The sequence below is a fragment of the Homo sapiens genome, chromosome 2 (genome assembly GCF_000001405.40).
Source record: "Homo sapiens chromosome 2, GRCh38.p14 Primary Assembly".
Classification (NCBI taxonomy): Eukaryota; Metazoa; Chordata; class Mammalia; order Primates; family Hominidae; genus Homo; species Homo sapiens.
The window spans coordinates 115,119,647-115,137,852 of NC_000002.12; the positions used below are offsets into that span (position 1 = coordinate 115,119,647).

Below are 18,206 nucleotides of genomic sequence, written 5' to 3' on the forward strand. Positions count from 1 at the left end.
GTATCCAGCTAGGTCCAAGGGAGAAGGGCAGGAATTCCACTCTGTTGTGTTTCTCTGATGGGCATTCTAGGGTCTTCTAAAAGGATGCCTCTTGAATATTGAGAGGACAGTATCCCTCATTGAGGATTATTTGGAATTTGATGGCCTGAAGGCAAGAGGAGACAAATTGGGTTATTGTGCTTAGAAGACATGTACCTGTACCAAAAAGACTAACAAGTGGGCCTAAAAAGGGAAAATCCCAGGAGAACCATTTCCAGGTTTCTTCCCAATTTAGCCAGTTCTGAGTGTCTTGTTCTCATAAACTGGAAGTTCAATTTAAAAGTTGTCTGATGTGGTCTTGTACTTTTCCCAATTGATTTACCCCAAAGCAACATTTTTCATCTGAGTCTAAACAGATTTCTCCCTGTGCTGCCAGTAACATATCTAGGTCTTGACAATTTTGGAGGACTATGGCTGCTAAAGAGTCAATTTGTTGTTGCATAGTTGTTAAAGTTTTATCCATGTCATCAGTGTTGCTGGGTATTTCCTTTGAGAGTTGGCTACAGGCCAAGGAGGCTTTTGTGATTCCAGCAATTCCAGTACCCATACCAGCTATAATGCCAAGTCCTATGAGAAGGGGGGTTAATTGGATAGACCTCCTCATCCTGGGAAGGATGGAATGCCTCTGGATTGGTGCTGGAAGAGAGAGACTCCTGGGGATTTGAAGATGTCAGGGATACATAGGCTATGGTACAAGTTCCAGACTAGTTAGTCAGAAGACATTGGGGAACTGATTGGACACAAATATAGAAGGTTCCTTGGACTTAAAGACAAGGAGCCTTCTATATTTGTGGAGAGGGTAGAGATGTCAAAACACAATAAAGTCTGACCCTTTCTAGCATAGCTAGGGGGCATGCCTAACTCTGTATGTTCCCATGCCTTGCCTAGAATTTAATGGATTTAAAGCAGGCAAGCAGTACAGTTACTAAGAGTCACAGTAGCAGTTTATACTACTAAAGCATTTAGTAGACCTAATAACCTTTACAATTTTACATTTTTTTAAATAAATTCCCTTTCACAATTTGTTTATGACTTACATAGGTCACCTACAACATACTTGGATGATTTGACTTGTCCTAAACATCCCTCTTTGTAAACAACTAGTCATTTTACTTTAGGACAAGAATGTACCATGCAAGATCACTTCTCATATAAAATCTATTTTCTTTATAACCTTTCTTACCAAAAAATCTCTTTACCTTTATAACCTTTGAATTAGACTAAAGTAATTTTCCTTCTGTTAAGAAGTTATGTTGCTGTGCAAGTACTACGAAGAGGGAGAAGATAAGGAGATTATCTGAATACTTTAGAAGTTATTCTCCCTCAAGGGATTGCTCAGTTAGATTTCTTACTAGGGCTTCTCTGAGTAAACATGGACTATTTCTAAACCCTTGAGGTAGGACTATCCAGGTTGAAGTTAAAGATTTAGGTAACTTTCCCAGGAGAAATAGGGCTACTAGAGGGAAAGATTAATTCAGAGTTTGGGTAGATATTAAGCAGGCACCCATCCCAAAGGGGTGTGGGGCTTTTAGACATTACCTGGTACTTATGTAAGAATAGTAATTGGCCCCTAAGTAATATAAAGGTGTGTGAATCTTTTCTTTTCGAGGGAAGTGATACCATTTTCCCCCATTACCCAACAGGATTTGGAGGAGAGTTGCTTAGAGAAGGAGATTAGCACAGACTAGGCAGCTCTCGAACCCAAAAGAGAAATTTATAACTACTTCCTGCCTCCAGAGTTGCCCTTGGCTTTGTCCTGTTGATGGCCAGCAATGTCTGATCTGGGAGCTAGCTGGAGCTGGAACCCCTTCAGTTTAAGGCCTTTATTGGATTGGAGCCTGGCCCAGGGGCATTTTTGGCTCTTGGAACATCCTTTTTCCAGTGGCTGAGCTTGTGGCAGAGGGGGCAGGCTATGTGGGGGTTTCTCCCATTTGGCCCATTTGGGCAATTCTTTTTCCAGTGGTCTGGTCTTCTGCACCAATGGTAGTTATCTAGAGGAGTGTCCTTACAGCAACCTGGAGGGGGCTGGTGGGCTTGCAGAGCAGCCAGTAGTTAAGACTCCCTCCTGTTTGTGCATTTCTCCTTCTCCTTAGCCCTGTCCTCCTTATTCTGCTCTAGGTTTTGAAAGACTGAGGAGGCTAATTTGAGTATTTCTTGTATAGGGGCACTGGGTCCTGAGGCTGACTTTTGTAATTTTCTACCAGATCATTTTTAGGCTGAACAGTATTACAAAGGAAAACTAGATTTTTGCTTTAAGATTTGGGGGGATCAAAATTTTCCCAGGTTTGGGTATGCATCGAAGGGTCATGTCCTGTGGTGTGCAGACGCAATTAACTATATGTGCAGAAAGAACAAAGGAGAGAAGAAAATGAAGACATCCTTTCTAGTTTTCCTAACATCTTTTTCCTGCACTTATGGCAGACTGGAGTGAACAGAGTGTTCCCCATTCATCCTAGGGGTTCCAGAATGAACCAGTGCTTACTGGGTACCCATAACCTTGGTCCCATCTTGTTTTATGAAGGTACAATTAACCATTTGTGAAGATACAACACATGAGAGAAGAGAAGAGGAGGGCACCCTCCCACCCCTGTTTTTCCCTGAATCCTTTGCCTGTGGCAGATCAGAGTGAACAGGGTTTCCCCCATTCATCCAAGGGGCTCTGGAATGAACTAGTGCTTGCTGGGTACCCCTAACCTTGGTCCCATCCAATTTCTGGGACCAGCCTTCATCTCTGTCCTACAGGTACTTTGGTCTCTTATGCCTGTGGCCTTGGGCCAGCCTATATCTTTGTTGCCAAGACCTTACAGTGACTCTTGTTCAGAGCATTCTAGAAGTTACAAGAGCTGGCAGAGCCAGAGGTCCAATTAGTGTGTGTCCTGGCAATGAGCCGAGACACATCTATGAGAAAGCCCATTTCTTTGTTGCCACACAATGCAGCAAAAGCTGTGGACATATAAATAACAAACTGGGAATGTGGTCCTGAAGGAGCACAAGACCATTTCAGAATACAGACAGACAAAACAGGAGAATAGGCAGTGCAGGTTTTCAGGAAACAAGCAGAGGAAACCTTGAACATTACACGGCCTTAGGCTTTAGCCCTACCACTCTCAGGAGCCTCCTGTCCAAGAGGGCCATTAGTGCCTCAGGTCTACTCTGTGCAGACTCCAAGGTCCTTCCCAACCCCATGAGTCACTCATCAGGGGGAGCTGTGAGATCAGCTGAGAACAAAGCCACTGTGACCAAGAGGAATCATTCTGGGCATTGGTTAGTAAGCAGGAGAGTGAAAGGGGAGAAAGAATCCATGTACAGGGGTTGTACGCCCTCAGCCAAAGAAAGCAAGGCATAGAGGTGTCTTACCACTAGGGAATGTGCCTGAGTCACAGCACCAATGTATATTACCAGCAGCAAATCCATATGGATCTGCAGCAAATCAATCCTTGCCTCCTTGGAGGAAAGAATTTAGCCAAGGGGCAGAAGTAGGTTGAAGGCAGAGGGAGAGACCAAGACAAGTTGTAGCGGGACCAAAAGTTTATTAAAAAGTTTTATAGCAGGAATGAAAGGAAGTCAAGTACACTTGGAAGAGGGCCAAGTAGGTGACTTGAGAGATCCTAGTTCCCTGTCTGTCCCTTGATTTGAGGTTTCAAATACTGGCATGGTTCTGGGATTTGTGTTTCTTCTCCATTTATTCTTCCCTTGGGGTGGCCTGTTCACATGCTCAGTGGCCTGCTAGCACTTGGGAGGGGTCACATTTGCAGTGCAGTTACTGAAGTAGTGCAAATGCTCATTTGAGGCATTTTTCCCTTATCAATCAACTGTTCCTAAAGGAAGATCATTTACTGGTTAAACTCCACCGTTTTTCCTCTTGGTGCACATATTTGAGCCCGGTCATCCAAATCCTGAGAGCTTATCAGGAAGCGGCTGATGACAGATTCAGCTCTTTTCTATCTGCTAGGAGACCGTCTTTTCCTGGTGTCAGCTGAGACCAATTATTATTTTAGAGAGACAGTTTAACAATCACCTGACCATCACCTGATGGTTGCCTAACATTCCTGGGGCAGCCCTCTCCTGCTGTGCTCATGTCTCCCTAACTATCTACTCCAACAACCTCACTGGGTTGTTTTAAATATTAATGTGTTAATAGACGTTTGCCCCAAAAGAAGCCTGCTGAACAGGAAGATAGTCAGCAAATATTAGCCATTATTTTATTACCGCACCCAACAGGCCCAGTTATATCAGTTATATATAAAATGCCTGTCTGATTATGCCTTTTTTTTTTTTTTAGACAAAGTCTCACTCTGTCACTCAGGCTGGAGTGCAGTAGCCTAATCATGGCTCATTGAATCCTCAACCTCCCAGGCTCAATCTTCCAACTGCAGCCTCCTGAGTAGCTGGGACTACAAGCATACCACCACACCTGGCTAATTTTCTTATTCTTATGTAAAAGTGGGGCTCTTGCCATCTTGCCCAGGCTGCTCACAAACTCCTAGACTCAAGCGATCCTCCTGCCTCCATCTCCCAAAGTGCTGGATTGCAGGCATAAGCCATCATGCTCAGCCTGACTATGCCCTTTTCAAGCTTAAGACCATTCAATGACTTCCTATTATTTTTGGAATAAATTCCAAAATTATTGACATAGCTCCACGTGAGCATTCTTGATTCACCTCTGCACACCTCTCCAGCCATATCTTTGCTATTCACTGTCTCCCTCATTATCTGATCTTGAGCAGCAGTGGCTTAATTTACATTTCTTAGGCACACAAGGTTCATTTGGCCTAATAAAGCCCCTGCATGGCAGCTCTCTTATACCTTCCTTGGACTAGAATCCCAGTTATCTTCCCTTCACTCCTGATGTTTCTTCAGAAACCAACTTGAAGAATACTTTCTCAGGGCCATTTACTATGTGACATTATTATGTGACCACTCAAGACAAGATCAAATCCCATGTTTATGCAATTTCCTAATACCTAGAATTATAGCCAATTAGTTACTTATGTAATTATATGTCTTTGTTTCTATCATGTAAATTTTATTACATTAAGTTTGTAATGAAATGGGAAATGTCTGTTTGTTAACCAAGGTATCACTAGTGTCTAAAAGAGTACCTGACATCTAGTTAACGTTTAACAAATAGTTACAGTTATAGAATAAACCCATTATAAATAAATGAACTAAAAAAATAACTGTGGAGTTACTCTGATTCTGTTCTTTGACTTTCTAGGGATTAATGCTGGATCTACTTAGCAAGAGGACAGCCAGGGACACCTTAGAGATAATTCATCCTAACCACTCCTTTTACAAATAAAACCAGACTCCATGCAGCTATAAAAAGAGCCTTTCTCAACCTTCCTCCAGTCATAAGTTCTTTTGTTTCTCTATCTACCATAACTGTGAAAGGAATTCCATACTTTAACTCGGGCATTAGTGGTGATTAGTTGTCCAATTCATAAAGTTGTGCATTGCTGAAAGGGGTAATCCAAAGGTCTAGAATTCAAATGTCAGAAGTAATGAGATCAGTAAAATACAAGGATAAAAAAGGCTTGAGACCACAAAAAAGTATTTCTTCTATCTCATCTTGTAAAAATCATCTCTGAGTATAAAATATAACATGATGTATATTTTTAAAGATTTCTCAAATGAACTCTAAACAGGAAAAGACAAAATTAAGGATAGAAACTTGGATCTTGGTTGGTGCTGTAAAACTTGAGAAAGTTATTTATTTTTGTTCTTTTCCCTATGAGGGAAAATGGTATTTCCAATTTCAAGAAATCCAAACATATATAAGCTTTGAAATCAGAAAAATTAGAAGCCAATTATACCATTTTTAAAGTATTTTCTTTGCTTCCTCAAATAGTGAGCCACCTAAGTTCAATAGATCATAATGGCTTTTTTTTTTTTTTTTTTTTGAGACAGAGTCCTCGCTCTGTCGCCCAGGCTGGAGTGCAGTGGCATGATCTTGGCTTACGGCAAGCGCCTCCTCCCGGGTTCACGCCATTCTCCTGCCTCAGCCTCCTGAGTAGCTGGGACTACAGGTGCCCTCCACCACACAGGGCTAATTTTCTTTTTTTTTTCTGTATTTCTAATAGAGACCGGGTTTCACCACGTTAGCCAGGATAGTCTTGATCTCTTGACCTCTTGATTCGCCCTCCTTGGCCTCCCAAAGTGCTGGGATTAAAGGTGCAAGGCACCGCGCCCAGCCCATAATACCTTTTTAAACATGTATTTAAATTAGATTTTTACCAAGCCATATTACCAGGCTAAGTAAAAAGGTACCTGTTTCATAATTGAGATCGTGTATATATTTCCAAAATGACCAAATACATACTTTTATTGAAAGCAACCCATATTTTGAATACCTTTATCTTATATAATTTTGTTCTAGTCTACACCATCATTGCTACTGACAAAAATTATATAGTACTTTATTGTACTCAAGTTTGTTTTGTCTTGTTTTGAGACAGGGCCTCACTCTGTTGACCAGGCTGGAATGCAAAGGTGTGATCTTGGCTCACTGCAACCTCTGCCTCCAGGGCTTAAGCTATCCTCTTGCCTCAGCCTTCCAAGTAGCTGGGACTACTGGCTAATTTTTTGTATTTTTTTGTATAGACAGGATTTCACCACATCGCCCAGCCTGGTCTTGAACCCCTAGGCTCAAGCAATCCACCCGCCTCAGCCTCCCAAAGGGCCAATATTACAAGCGTGAGCCACTGCACCTGGCCACATTTCAAGATATTTTGTATTTTCTATTCTTGAACAGTCTTGACTGAACATGAATGCTCTCTTTCTGTCCACCCGGAGTAGTTGAAAGATATTTATTTAAAAGTGATATTAATGATATAAATAGATAAAAGAAGAGTATCACCTGGATAAGAATTTGGAAATAAGAGAAAAGTTTACATTTGAAATGCAGGTTTTACATGAAATATATATATAATCGGAGTTGTTTTTTACAGTGAAGTTCAACTGTTCTTTTTGTTCTTGCTGTTCCGATGCTCTCTCTCTTGTTTCTTTTTGAGTGTCACAGACATTTATATTCCTCTTTTCTCAACCTAACCTTTCCCTGATTACAGGCATTTGTACTAATTACTGTGATTCCACAGTTCAACACAGACAGCTTTGTTCCCACTGCTACAGAAGCACAGAGCTGCATCAATATTGAGTAGGGGGTTCTTGAAAATAACCTAAGTGGCATTTTGGAATAGATATTCCTCCAATGGGTAAGATACCTACCTAAAACCACAAAATATACATTCAATAGCATATTTTTTTGAAATTCTATAGACTTTCCAAACAACTTTGTTTAGAATAAAAGATTCATAATATGCTAACACAAATGTAAATATTGTACCAGGTCACACCTAAAGGATGGAAAAGTCTAGTAAGTGAAAATGCCCATTACTCTTGGGCTGTAAGATTTTCTACCAGAGAGGTTGCACAGTAATATACCCTAACTGTTAAGAATGAGAAAGTTTGTTGCTGTTGTATTTTGTTTTATTTTGTGGGCATCTGTAAGAACTAGAGAAAAACTGTAGAGTCCTGTGTGTGTTTTGTTTCACCTATGGAATACTGATTCTCTTCGTGTTAAAATGATTAATTCTTATTTGTTATAAAATAGAGAATATTATATAAGTTCTGGATTCCTGTATTCTCTTGAAAATCATGAAGTTCTGCCAACTCTGGGCCCAATTTCATCTAGCAGCTACTGCTGCAGTATGGTGCTTAGACTCACAGAGGGAGGTGGCTTTCCAGTTCAGCCCCAACCCCACCTCTGTCTTTGCCTACCATACACTGAAACCTAGAGTCAGATGGCATTTATCATTTTTTCCCTAATATTAGAGTTGAAAATATATTTTGTAAATATCTGTGTTTCTATCAAGATGGGTAAGATTAAAAATGGACCCGAATAGCTGTATGATTCAAATAAAAGAGGTGTAGTCCAAAAAGAAAGAATATTTCTTTGTGGAAACAAGGGACATTCCACATATTTAATTTGTAATGTTGTCTGTGTGAAAGACTACATCTTTGTCATCTGTGCATTCTACTTTACTATACACATTTATATTTATTTACTTGCCCCTTAGTAGCTTAGTCTACAGCCACTGTGACTGTCATATTCAGCCATGGTGTAAGCTGACATTTTTTTAAATGGGTGTGTGAACATGTGTACACTTCGGAAAAAGTGGCAAAGGATATACTCCCTATGTCAACTCATTATACCTAGTTCATGCGTTTATCAGTTATTTTAACTTTCTTTTGTTTATCTTTTTCATGTTATGAGTTTTGACCATGTGCTTGTGTTAGATTTAAAAACAGAAAAACAATAAAATAAAATGAAAAAAGTAAGAAAATGGTTTGTTCAGAATGCTAAACACATATTCCCTTTTTGTTCCCCTCTGGATGCAATTAATGCATACTTCAATCTTCATAGAACCTAATCCAAAATGCAAGGGTCTTTATAATCAGCCTTCCCAAATTGATTTTTACTCAATCAAAACCCTCCTCTCCAGACATATTGATTTTTTTCATTGTCCCTTAAACACACCTGAACTCGGAACCATTTCCTCCTTCACGTCTGTATTTATTCTGTTAAGCCTCTTGACTTCCCTCCCAGCCCAGAATATCTTATTTTGTTGATGCATCAAAATACTCACATCATTCAAGTCCAGTTCAAACTCCTTATTAATGCTTCCCTTAGACGCCGGAAGTGATCGCTGTTCTCCCTAATTGCAATTGCACTTAAACCAACTGTAGCGAACAGCTCAATCTTTGTTAAATATTTCCTCATAATTCCTCTGAGGAGCACTAAGACCCTGAGATATTGATAGTTTTTGTGATATAAAAATTTCCATGGCTTAAAAAATAATGCAAAAATGTTCAGAAACATTTGGTTTAAACAAAATTAACCAGATTTATTTACTGCAGTATTTCTCAGACCATTAGAACATGTGTAGTCTCCTGCTAATAGTGAAGAGTGGTTTTAATATAAGGAATTTTACAAAATTTTGTCAGCATCAAACTGACAATTGTCCTTATGATTTTGTCCATATTTTCTAGTAGAATAATGTCCTGCAGAAGATAATTTGGGTGATCCCAGTTCATAATATAGTTTTATGTGTATCTCTTTATTTCAAACCAGCTAGCAAATTTCTAGTCACTGAACTTGTTCTTACAAATATTTTTACACGTCGAGATCCTTCAACACTTATGAGTTCATGGTATGTGTGCAAAAACCACGAATAGATAAGGAGGGGAGTAACAATACATTGTCCATTGGCTAAGATACCGGAGCAGTTCAAGGGGACAGTCATCCCAGATTCAGGGAAACAGGAGGAAACCCATCAAAGGATATTAGGTAACCTCTGACAGTCTGGCAATGTTTCCCTCTTCATGACACTCGGTCCTTGCTTCTCCTCTTCTGTCTGGACCAAATGATTTCAAACTCAGGCTTCCTGTAGCTCTCCAGTGTGAAAGAGGCTTAAAGAGATAGGATCACTTCAATTCAGGGTGCAGCCTCATTTTTCCCTCTGCTGTTCACATATTGATAGGAACTTTACATCTGTCATGTCTCCTTTTATAGATGAATGTAGGGAGGGTGGATGATAATGCATTCCAATATTTATTCAATTTCAAAATGAAAGACAAGTTGAAAATCCTTCATGAGGATGCAATCCACGGAAATATGAGAGCTGTCTACCTACCATCTCTAACAGATTTTGGCCTTTGTTTATTTCCGAAGCACTTATTTGTCATTAAGATAATTTTTGTTTATGTTTTCTCAGGCATATTATGATTCCCTTAAGTTTCCAGAGAGCCTTGTTCTATGCTCTGTAAAGGAGAGGCATATGTGGGTTAAATAAGAATTTAATATATGCTTAATGAATATATCACTTATTTGTAGAATGCATTCTTGTTCCTCCTTGATATTCTTGCCATGCCAAACCATCACGATTTCTGTCATTTGCCAAAGTATATTCTTACTTTGCACTTACACTGATTACACCTGATAGCCCATTTTGCTGAGTCATCCTACTGTTCTCTGTGTCCTTACTTCTCATAGTGTTGTCAGGAAACCAGCAGCATAGGCATCCCCTGAGAGTTTGATAGAATGCAAAATTGCAGCTCCAACTCCAGACATAGTGATTCAGAATACGCATTTAAACAAAAGTCCTTGGCAATTCTTATGCTCATTAGAGTTGGAGAAGCTCTGTTCTAAGTGTTCCCTGGATTTTTCACTGTGGGCTGAGGCACGTGGTATATAGACATCTCTCTCTCTCTTAACTTCTTCTGTTCTCCTGGGCATTGTCTTCAATATTTCTCTTTCTTTTTCCTTTCAGCAAGTGCACCTGCTTAGGACTCACTAAACCATTTTCACAATTAATTTTCCATCTAATCAAAACCCTCCTATCCATATATCTCTACTATCACTCCAAAAATAAAAGTTTCATTGAGGTCTGCCTCCCCTATAGTTAGCTAGCTCAGATGGAAGTTGTAGGCTATTCCACTTGCCAGGCATTTTTCAGCCCATTGTTTGCATTTTTGTTCCATCATTTTCCTGAAACTTTTTAAGTCACAATTACCTAAAATTGTTGAACATATTGAGCATTTTTTGAATTTCAGTTGTCTGGTCTCTCTGTCACCTTTGACACTGTTGTTACGTTCTTCCTTAAAACTCTCTTTTTCCTCAGCTTCTGAGAAATAATCCTCTTCCGATTCCACAGAGACTCAGATGGTTCTTTCTCATTTCCCCACATCTGTGTTCCCATCCAATCGGTATTATCCTTCCATCCATGCATCCATCCATGCATCCATCCATCCATCTATCCATCCATCCATCCATCCATCCATCCATCCATCCATCCATTCATCTTCAGCTTTCTTTTTTTAATCTCTCTATACATTTTTTATAAATGATGCTTCTGACTTTCAAGACTTCAACTACCAGATCCAGAGCTACTGATTCCTTTCATCAGTGACCATGCCTTTTCTCCCACATGCCTCTCTGAATGTGAGATATCTCTCCCTGTCAATACAACCCACACTAAACTTATTTTCTCCCCACCTCTTCCATTCTATATTCCTTAGCTGGGCTGGTAGAATTGAAAAGTCTTTCTCAACTCCTACTTCCTTTTCTGTGCACATCCAATTATCCCCTGCATTCTGTCAATTCCACTGTCTTAACAACTCTTAAGTCTATCTTGCCTTCCTATCACATAGTTACCAACTTAATTCAGAATTTCTTCATTATTTCTTACCTTCACTGCAATAATGGTCTCCTAGTAGGTTTTCTTTCTCCTTACCCACAGAGTTCTTCCTAATCAATTTTTCTTACTTCTTACACCATGAAAAAGCTTCCCTTCTCATTCTGTAGCCATCTCAATGGGTTTGTTCTTGCAGGTCTACCAAAAGCAAGGAAGGGCTCCTGAGGTTATACCAATGTAAAAGGATAGAAAGGTGAGTAATTCAGATGAGATGTGGTTTCTCAGACAACACTCCCTTCCAACATCTATGAAAATAGATGAACATGAAGCAAAATTAAAATAATAGCAAATAGTCTGGGCACAATGGCTCATGCCTGTAATCCCCGAACTTTGGGAGGCCAAGGCAGGAGCATTACTTGATTCCAGGAGTTCAAGACAAGCCTGGGCAAAATGGCGAGACCCTGTCTCTACAAAATTAAAAAATTAGCCAGGCATATTGATATGTGTCTGTGGTCCCAGCTACTTGGGAGGCTGAGGTAGGAGGATTGCTTGAGTCCGGGAGGTCAAGGCTGCAGTGAGCCCTGATTGAGCCACTGTGCACCTGCCTGGGCCATAAAGCAAAACCCTGTCTCAAAAAGTAACAAGAAGAAGAAGGGTAGCAAATAAATAGCAAAAATATAGCAAAAAAAGAAAATATAGCAGTCCATAAAAATAAAAGTTCAAATTGATTCTGAATAAAAAACATGCTTTCAAATCCATCTGAAGAATTCCTACCTTAGCTACTGATTTGTTATCAGAAAAAACAAACACTGTGAAATATTTAAAGAGGTTTATTCCAAGCTAATATGAGTGACCATGGCCTGGGGAACAGTCTCAAGAGATCCTGAGGCCTACAGGTATCCTGAGGTGGATTCAAAGATTTTCTGGGCTGGGCATGGTGGCTTACATTTGTAATACCAGCACTTTGAGAAGCCAAGGTGGGCAGATCACCTGAGGTCAGGAGTTCGAGGTCAGCCGGGCCAACATGGTGAAACCCTGTCTCTACTAAAAAAAAAAAAAATACAAAAATTAGCCGATCATGGTGGCACAATCCCAGCTACTCTGGAGGCTGGGGCAGGATAATTGCTTAAATCCAGGAGGTGGAGGTTACAGTGAGCCAAGATTGTGCCACTGCACTCCAGTCTGGGCGACAGAGTGGCGCCATCTCAAAATAATAATAATAATAATAATTTCTGATTTGGAATTTGTTGTAAGAGTTAAGCTTTATCTTTAGACTGGAAGTCTTTGTCTAAAGACTTGAAGTTAGTAGGCAGAAATGCTCAAGTTAAGATTGGGGGTGTTGTGATGACCAAGGTTTCTGTTATGTAGATGAAGCCTCAGGAGTTGCAGTCCTTACAGAGAATAGATGGTAAATGTGTCTTTTGGGAACTTGAAAGTTTTCAGACTCTTACTTAATCTTTTCTAGATCTGAAAAAGGTCTGGAAAGGGAAGGCCTGGCCGCATTAATGGAGATTCTCTACTGATGCAAATTTCCCCCACAAAAGACAGCTTTGCTGTCATTTCAAAATATGTCAAAGAAATATATTTTATGGTAAAATATTTTATTTCCTTCGGGATGTGCTTTCTGTCATTTCTGTCATGTGATGTTATACTAGAATCAGGTTGGAATTTAGCATTTTATTGCCACAAGGATTCTTTTTTGTCAGTCTTAGGATCTCTGTTTTAACTTTAATGCCTGTCACTTATGCCTAAGCTCCAAAAGGGAGGGGATATAATGAGGTGTGTCCAACCTCCCTTCCAGTTACGGCTGGAAATTCAGGTTTTCAGGTCTTTCTAGGGTCCCCTTGGCCAGAAGTTTGTCAGTTCAGCCAGTTGGCGGAACTGAAAATTTTACTTACGGTTTACAGACTTTAGAAATAAACCCCACTAATTGCCCATCCTATTTTGAGATGGTTCATTCATATATGAAAAACTCCTGTTCCTTTACATCTTGATTTATACCTAAAAACTCTGTGCAGGTATGATTTCTGTCATTCCAGAATTCTCCATGCCTACAAGTAGTGTTAGAAATTTCCTTTTTGCAAAACTACTTCTTCTGAAGGAGAGTGTTGGAAGCTATCTTATAGTTTGGATTCATGGGCTGGGGTTTGGAAAAGAGAATTATTCCAGGGGGTTATGAAGAATCCTAAAATCTTAACAGAGCAAAATCTCCCAATCTATATATATGTATATGTATGTGTGTGTGTGTGTGTGTGTGTGTGTGTGTATATATATATATATATATATATATATATATAGTTTTTTTTTTTTTTTCTTGAGACAGAGTCCCATTCTGTCACCCAGGCTGGAGTGCAGTGGTGAAATCTCGGATTTGCCATTGCATTACAGCCTGGGTGACAAGAGCAAAACTCCGTCTAAAACAAAAAGCAAAAAACAACAACAACAATAACAAAAACAAATTGGCCAGGAACATTTCTGTTTAGGAAATTTAAGACCAAGGAACTGAACTAACATTGGGTACTTACCAGAGTCTAAGACCTGTTATTCATGGGCATTTAGATAAGTTTTCTCATTTAATGTTTATAACAACTCTATTGATAAGGACATGTTCTCAATAGAGAAAAATGAGGAAAGATAAATGAAAATAACAATGGAGTACTTAATGCCAAAAACTTTATCAGGCGTCGTGAGGTATCTATTATATAAAGCTCATTTTGCAGATGAGGAATGCTGCTCTGAGAAGATGAGTGAGCTGCTCATGGAAACGCAGCTCTTAACTGCTAAAGGGAGGAAGTAAAGCTTTGCCTGCTTTACTTCAAGGCCCGAGCTGTTTTCATTATAACAATCTACAGTCTTTAAGATAGGTGAAGACCATTTTGGACGCAAATGAGCTAAACTGCTTATCTATTTGTGTTTTAATCAGGTCTGTCTGTGAAGTTATCTTCCAGCTATTTTGTATTCACCCCACGATACCTAGCACTGTGTTCTACCATACATGACCATCAATAAATGTTTGCTAAATTGATGGATGGGCCTTGCTGTGCTATTAAGGAACACTCATCACGCTACAGGAATTGCTTTGTCCCCACGTTAACAGACAACTGGTTATGATGAACTTCTAAAGGAAAATAAAATTATGCTTCTCTGAAAACACATCTAATAAAATGAGGATGTTATTATCATTTGGTTTGTTTTTGAGAATATCGATCTTAAATACAGTTAAATAAATAGCTGGAAGATTGGAAATAACATTAGGAAAAAGATCTTTTATGAGACATGATAAAGAACAATAATTCTTTCATATATACATTTAAGTACAAATTCACAGAACTCCTTCTGAAGAAACAATTGATTCACTCCTAAGTTTAAGTACCTATTAAATATTTCCTAGTAGGAGGTTTCATCTATATGTTACATGTCAGTAGCATTACGTCAAATAAGAGTAACTATTTGGACCCATTCTTTGGGGTTGAGGAATGGAGGTGATAGTTATTATGCATGAAGTGGCTGACTGGATGGTGCACGTCGTAGACTGCCTAATGTTGATATTCAAAACAATCATATGAAATATGTGTTACTATAATCACATTTAGATGGGAAAACTGAGTGAGGAGGAAGTCAGGTATGTTTCCTGGCTTACATGTCTAGTACATGATAAAGCCAGAATTTAAATCTGTATGTCTGATTCCAAAATCTTTGTCCACTCTGCTTCTCCCATGCTACCTCCAATAGCTCAAAGTATGAAGAAGGTACAGTGACGCAAATAGGGCCTTCATCTAAAAAGATCAGAGTAATAGCATAATGGATAATAAAATATTTACAATATCAACAGGGTCAGGGGTAAGTGCATTTGTAGAAAAAAAAATGACTGGAAGGAAACACCACAATGAAAACAGTGGTTTCGTTGTATTATATTACGTTTTGCTATTTTAGTAATGGAAAATTTTAAGCTCATGAAAAAGCAAGATAAGTGTATTTTAGGACAAGGCTTTACATCAGATTAAAGAAGATTTCTGGGAGAGAATCAGCAAGAGGCCATCGTGCAGCCTGGACAGAGGGAGGGAACGTTCCACACTGCTGCTCTAACAGAACACAAGCAATGGCATATGGCACTAATTTGTGAAATTACACTTTAATTTCAAACCCAGGTTAGGAAGAGTAGTCATGGCTGGAGAACACTGAAGAAGGCTTCCACCTATTAGCTCAAACAGTCAGGCAGGTACTAAACTGATCCAGCAGGCAGCATGCTAGATGTTGGAGATAGAGAGTTGAACACCGTCATGTACGTAAAAACAGCATATTGTAGGAGCATACTTTAGGGTTGTACTTCTTTATAGATCCTCTGAAGTGGGGCCCTTGAGATATATATATATATATATATGAGCAAATAGAACATAATAGCTTTTCTACTTCCTTCTGCATTGCTTTTTAACCTTCCTTCCTTCCTAATATGTGCATCCTGCCTCAATTCCCTATCTACCTTCTTGCATACTGGCCCAATATAGAGAATATATTAATTATTACTTTCCTTATAATAGCACCTCACCCATCTGTTTTATCCAGAAACCCAGTTTTACATTCCATTTTCAAGGTCAGCGAAAAACAGAGAAGGCCTCAGCATTATGAGTGCTGCCCCATGAGATAGTAGGTAGAATGGCCCATCTGTTAAAACACTGTTCATAATTTTAAATGGAACATTTTAAAGCTCAGTGAAATCATTTCTACTCTCCAGTACAATGAACTTCTATTCTCTTACCTCCTGGAGAGGTTGAACTGAACATGGAAAATCGGGCCTTTTTGGTTCTTGTAGTGAATATAAATGGTGATATCAAATCACCAACTTGGCCCAGGAGATAATTTCTTGTGAGTCGCTGAGGCTGGCTGTTCAATCTTACATGTTTTACACATAATTCCAGACCATTTTGCAGAAGGTTTCTTGGCTTCCATCTTAAGGATCAAAAGCAAGTTTCCTCATGGTTTGTGATTCTCATGCCAAAAGGGTAAATGTGCAGGAAGGTCATAAGCAGTAGCAAAGCTTCTCTCACATCTGCCTTGAGCTTGAGCAGTCAGGCTTGCTAATTTGACCTCCTATTGTCATTTAGAATCTTCTGCCAGGAGAGTTTTTTTCTTTTTTAAAGAAGTGAGAGGCAGATAATTTGTTTAAATTATTTATATTTAAGAAGTGGAAGGAACAGGGAAGAAAAAAGAGATGTCTTGATTTTCTGAGGAGTATGCCATGGATAGACACTTAGGGCACAAAACAGCAGCTACCTGGTTTATGCTGAAAAAAAAAACAAACATGTAAATAGCAATTATTGTGCAGCAGTAGCCCTGAGGAGGATTCTCTGCATACTCAATCTTTCTAAGCACCCCTAAGTGTCTTGGACTCTCCATTACAGAAAATGTGTTTAGGTCTATGAATGGAAGAGCGCACCTGTGTGTGTCCTGTCCCAGTGTTTCTGTGATGATGTGGATGTCCTATGAAAATATTAGTAACAGATGGCAATGTTTCTCTAGCCTTGATGTTATTCTCATAGTATTTACAGGTCGCATCAACTGGTCAGATGTGGCTACAAAGTAAAGTCATAATACTTCAAAAATTATTCTTCTTGAAAGCTCATGTATATGTATTCTCAAAAGACACACTCAGGCAGTTAGAACCAGTGTATTTCTATGTAATGACCTGTTCTCCCAAACATGGTTGTCTCATTGCCCAGGGATTAAAAGGGGAAATGCTTCTAACAATCAGCAAAGGCAAAAACTGCAAAGGGATGGAATAAAAAAAAAACCATAAAGCAGACATAATGATTTACAGAGGCAAGCAATCTGAGGTTATCTATTTGAGGAGCCAATAATTACATGTATACAAATAATCTTTGGAGGAATAGTACAAAAATGGATGTTTCAGAGGTTGACCCAAGTCATAATATTTAAAATCCCTAGTGTAAGGAGGCACAGAGCAATATAATTTTAGAAAATCACCCATCCAAAATATATTTTAAAGGATTTTCACCTAAAGATGACATTCCTTTTACCAATGATGTAGACTACATTAGTTCTCCTTCCCTTTAGGTCTGAAGTTCAGTTAGCTCAGTCTCTTTTGTACTAGGTAGAGTTTGTGGCTATTCCCTTGAATAGTCCAGATGACTTTGCTCTTAACAAGGCAGTCCCAGAGTAGTTAACATGAAAGCCACGTGTGAGGGTGTGTGTGGGAGGGAGAGAGGAGTTGGTGGGAAGAGGAGGTCATCTGTGCTAATGGAAAATAAACTCAAAGGGCATATCCAGCATCACCTTTGTATGGGAAGAGCATCTATTTGGGGTTTTCATTTTCTGATAGGCAGTGATAGAATTACAACTAATATAATAAATAAATAGAACTTTAGAGAGTGCAAGAAAAGAATCCCAGCCCTGGCCAGTGATTTGATTTGCTCTAGCACATCCATCTGACTGAGCCATCTGGCAGTGAACCAGTGGTATCAGAACAGCAATGGGTGTAACCTTGAGGAAGGGTTGCCCCTTGACAAACAGACTGGTGGGAAAAGTGCAGGATGTGGCAAGACTGAGGATGAACAACTATCCACCCTGCAGAGGATAGCGACATAGGGAGAGAAATGCGTGGTGCACATCACTTTGTCCTGAGTGTTTGGCCAGGCCAGGTATGAAAGGCACTTAGGCTGGATACCTAGGAATGTCTAACAGCAGGTGGAGCAGGCAAGAAAGGAGGCCAGGCTCTAGTTAAGAAGAGATTAATTATGGTTTGGAGAGAGCTGTCCATTCATAACTGGCGGGCTACAGAGGGCAGAAATCATTCCCCAATGGGAGAAATTGTTAAGAGATTGAGTGAACTCCAACTATGAAGGCCTATCAACGGACAGAAGGCAGGGCGTAGAGAATGTTGTGATTTAGAAGTTATACAGCCAAGTACCTTCTAGGTACACCTGTGCTGTCAGACTATTAGAACAAGAGCCAATT

General features: G+C 39.4%; 1 protein-coding gene and 1 long non-coding RNA gene across 13 annotated transcripts in view; one reads left to right on the forward strand and one right to left on the reverse strand.

Moving 5' to 3' along the window:
• DPP10 (dipeptidyl peptidase like 10) overlaps window positions 1-18,206 on the forward strand; it is a 1,403,140-nt gene that overhangs the window by 677,006 nt on the left and 707,928 nt on the right. The gene's annotated exons all lie outside the window — the stretch shown is intronic.
• LOC107985937 (uncharacterized) lies at window positions 8,920-12,208 on the reverse strand. 2 transcript variants are annotated; one of them, XR_001739660.2, is made up of 3 exons: window positions 12,181-12,208; window positions 11,289-11,432; window positions 8,920-9,861 (listed from the first exon to the last, which is right to left on the reverse strand). It is a non-coding gene; the product is annotated as an uncharacterized LOC107985937 (long non-coding RNA). The 2 variants fall into 2 exon arrangements; XR_007087208.1 differs by lacking the exon at window positions 12,181-12,208 and having other exon boundaries at window positions 11,289-11,596.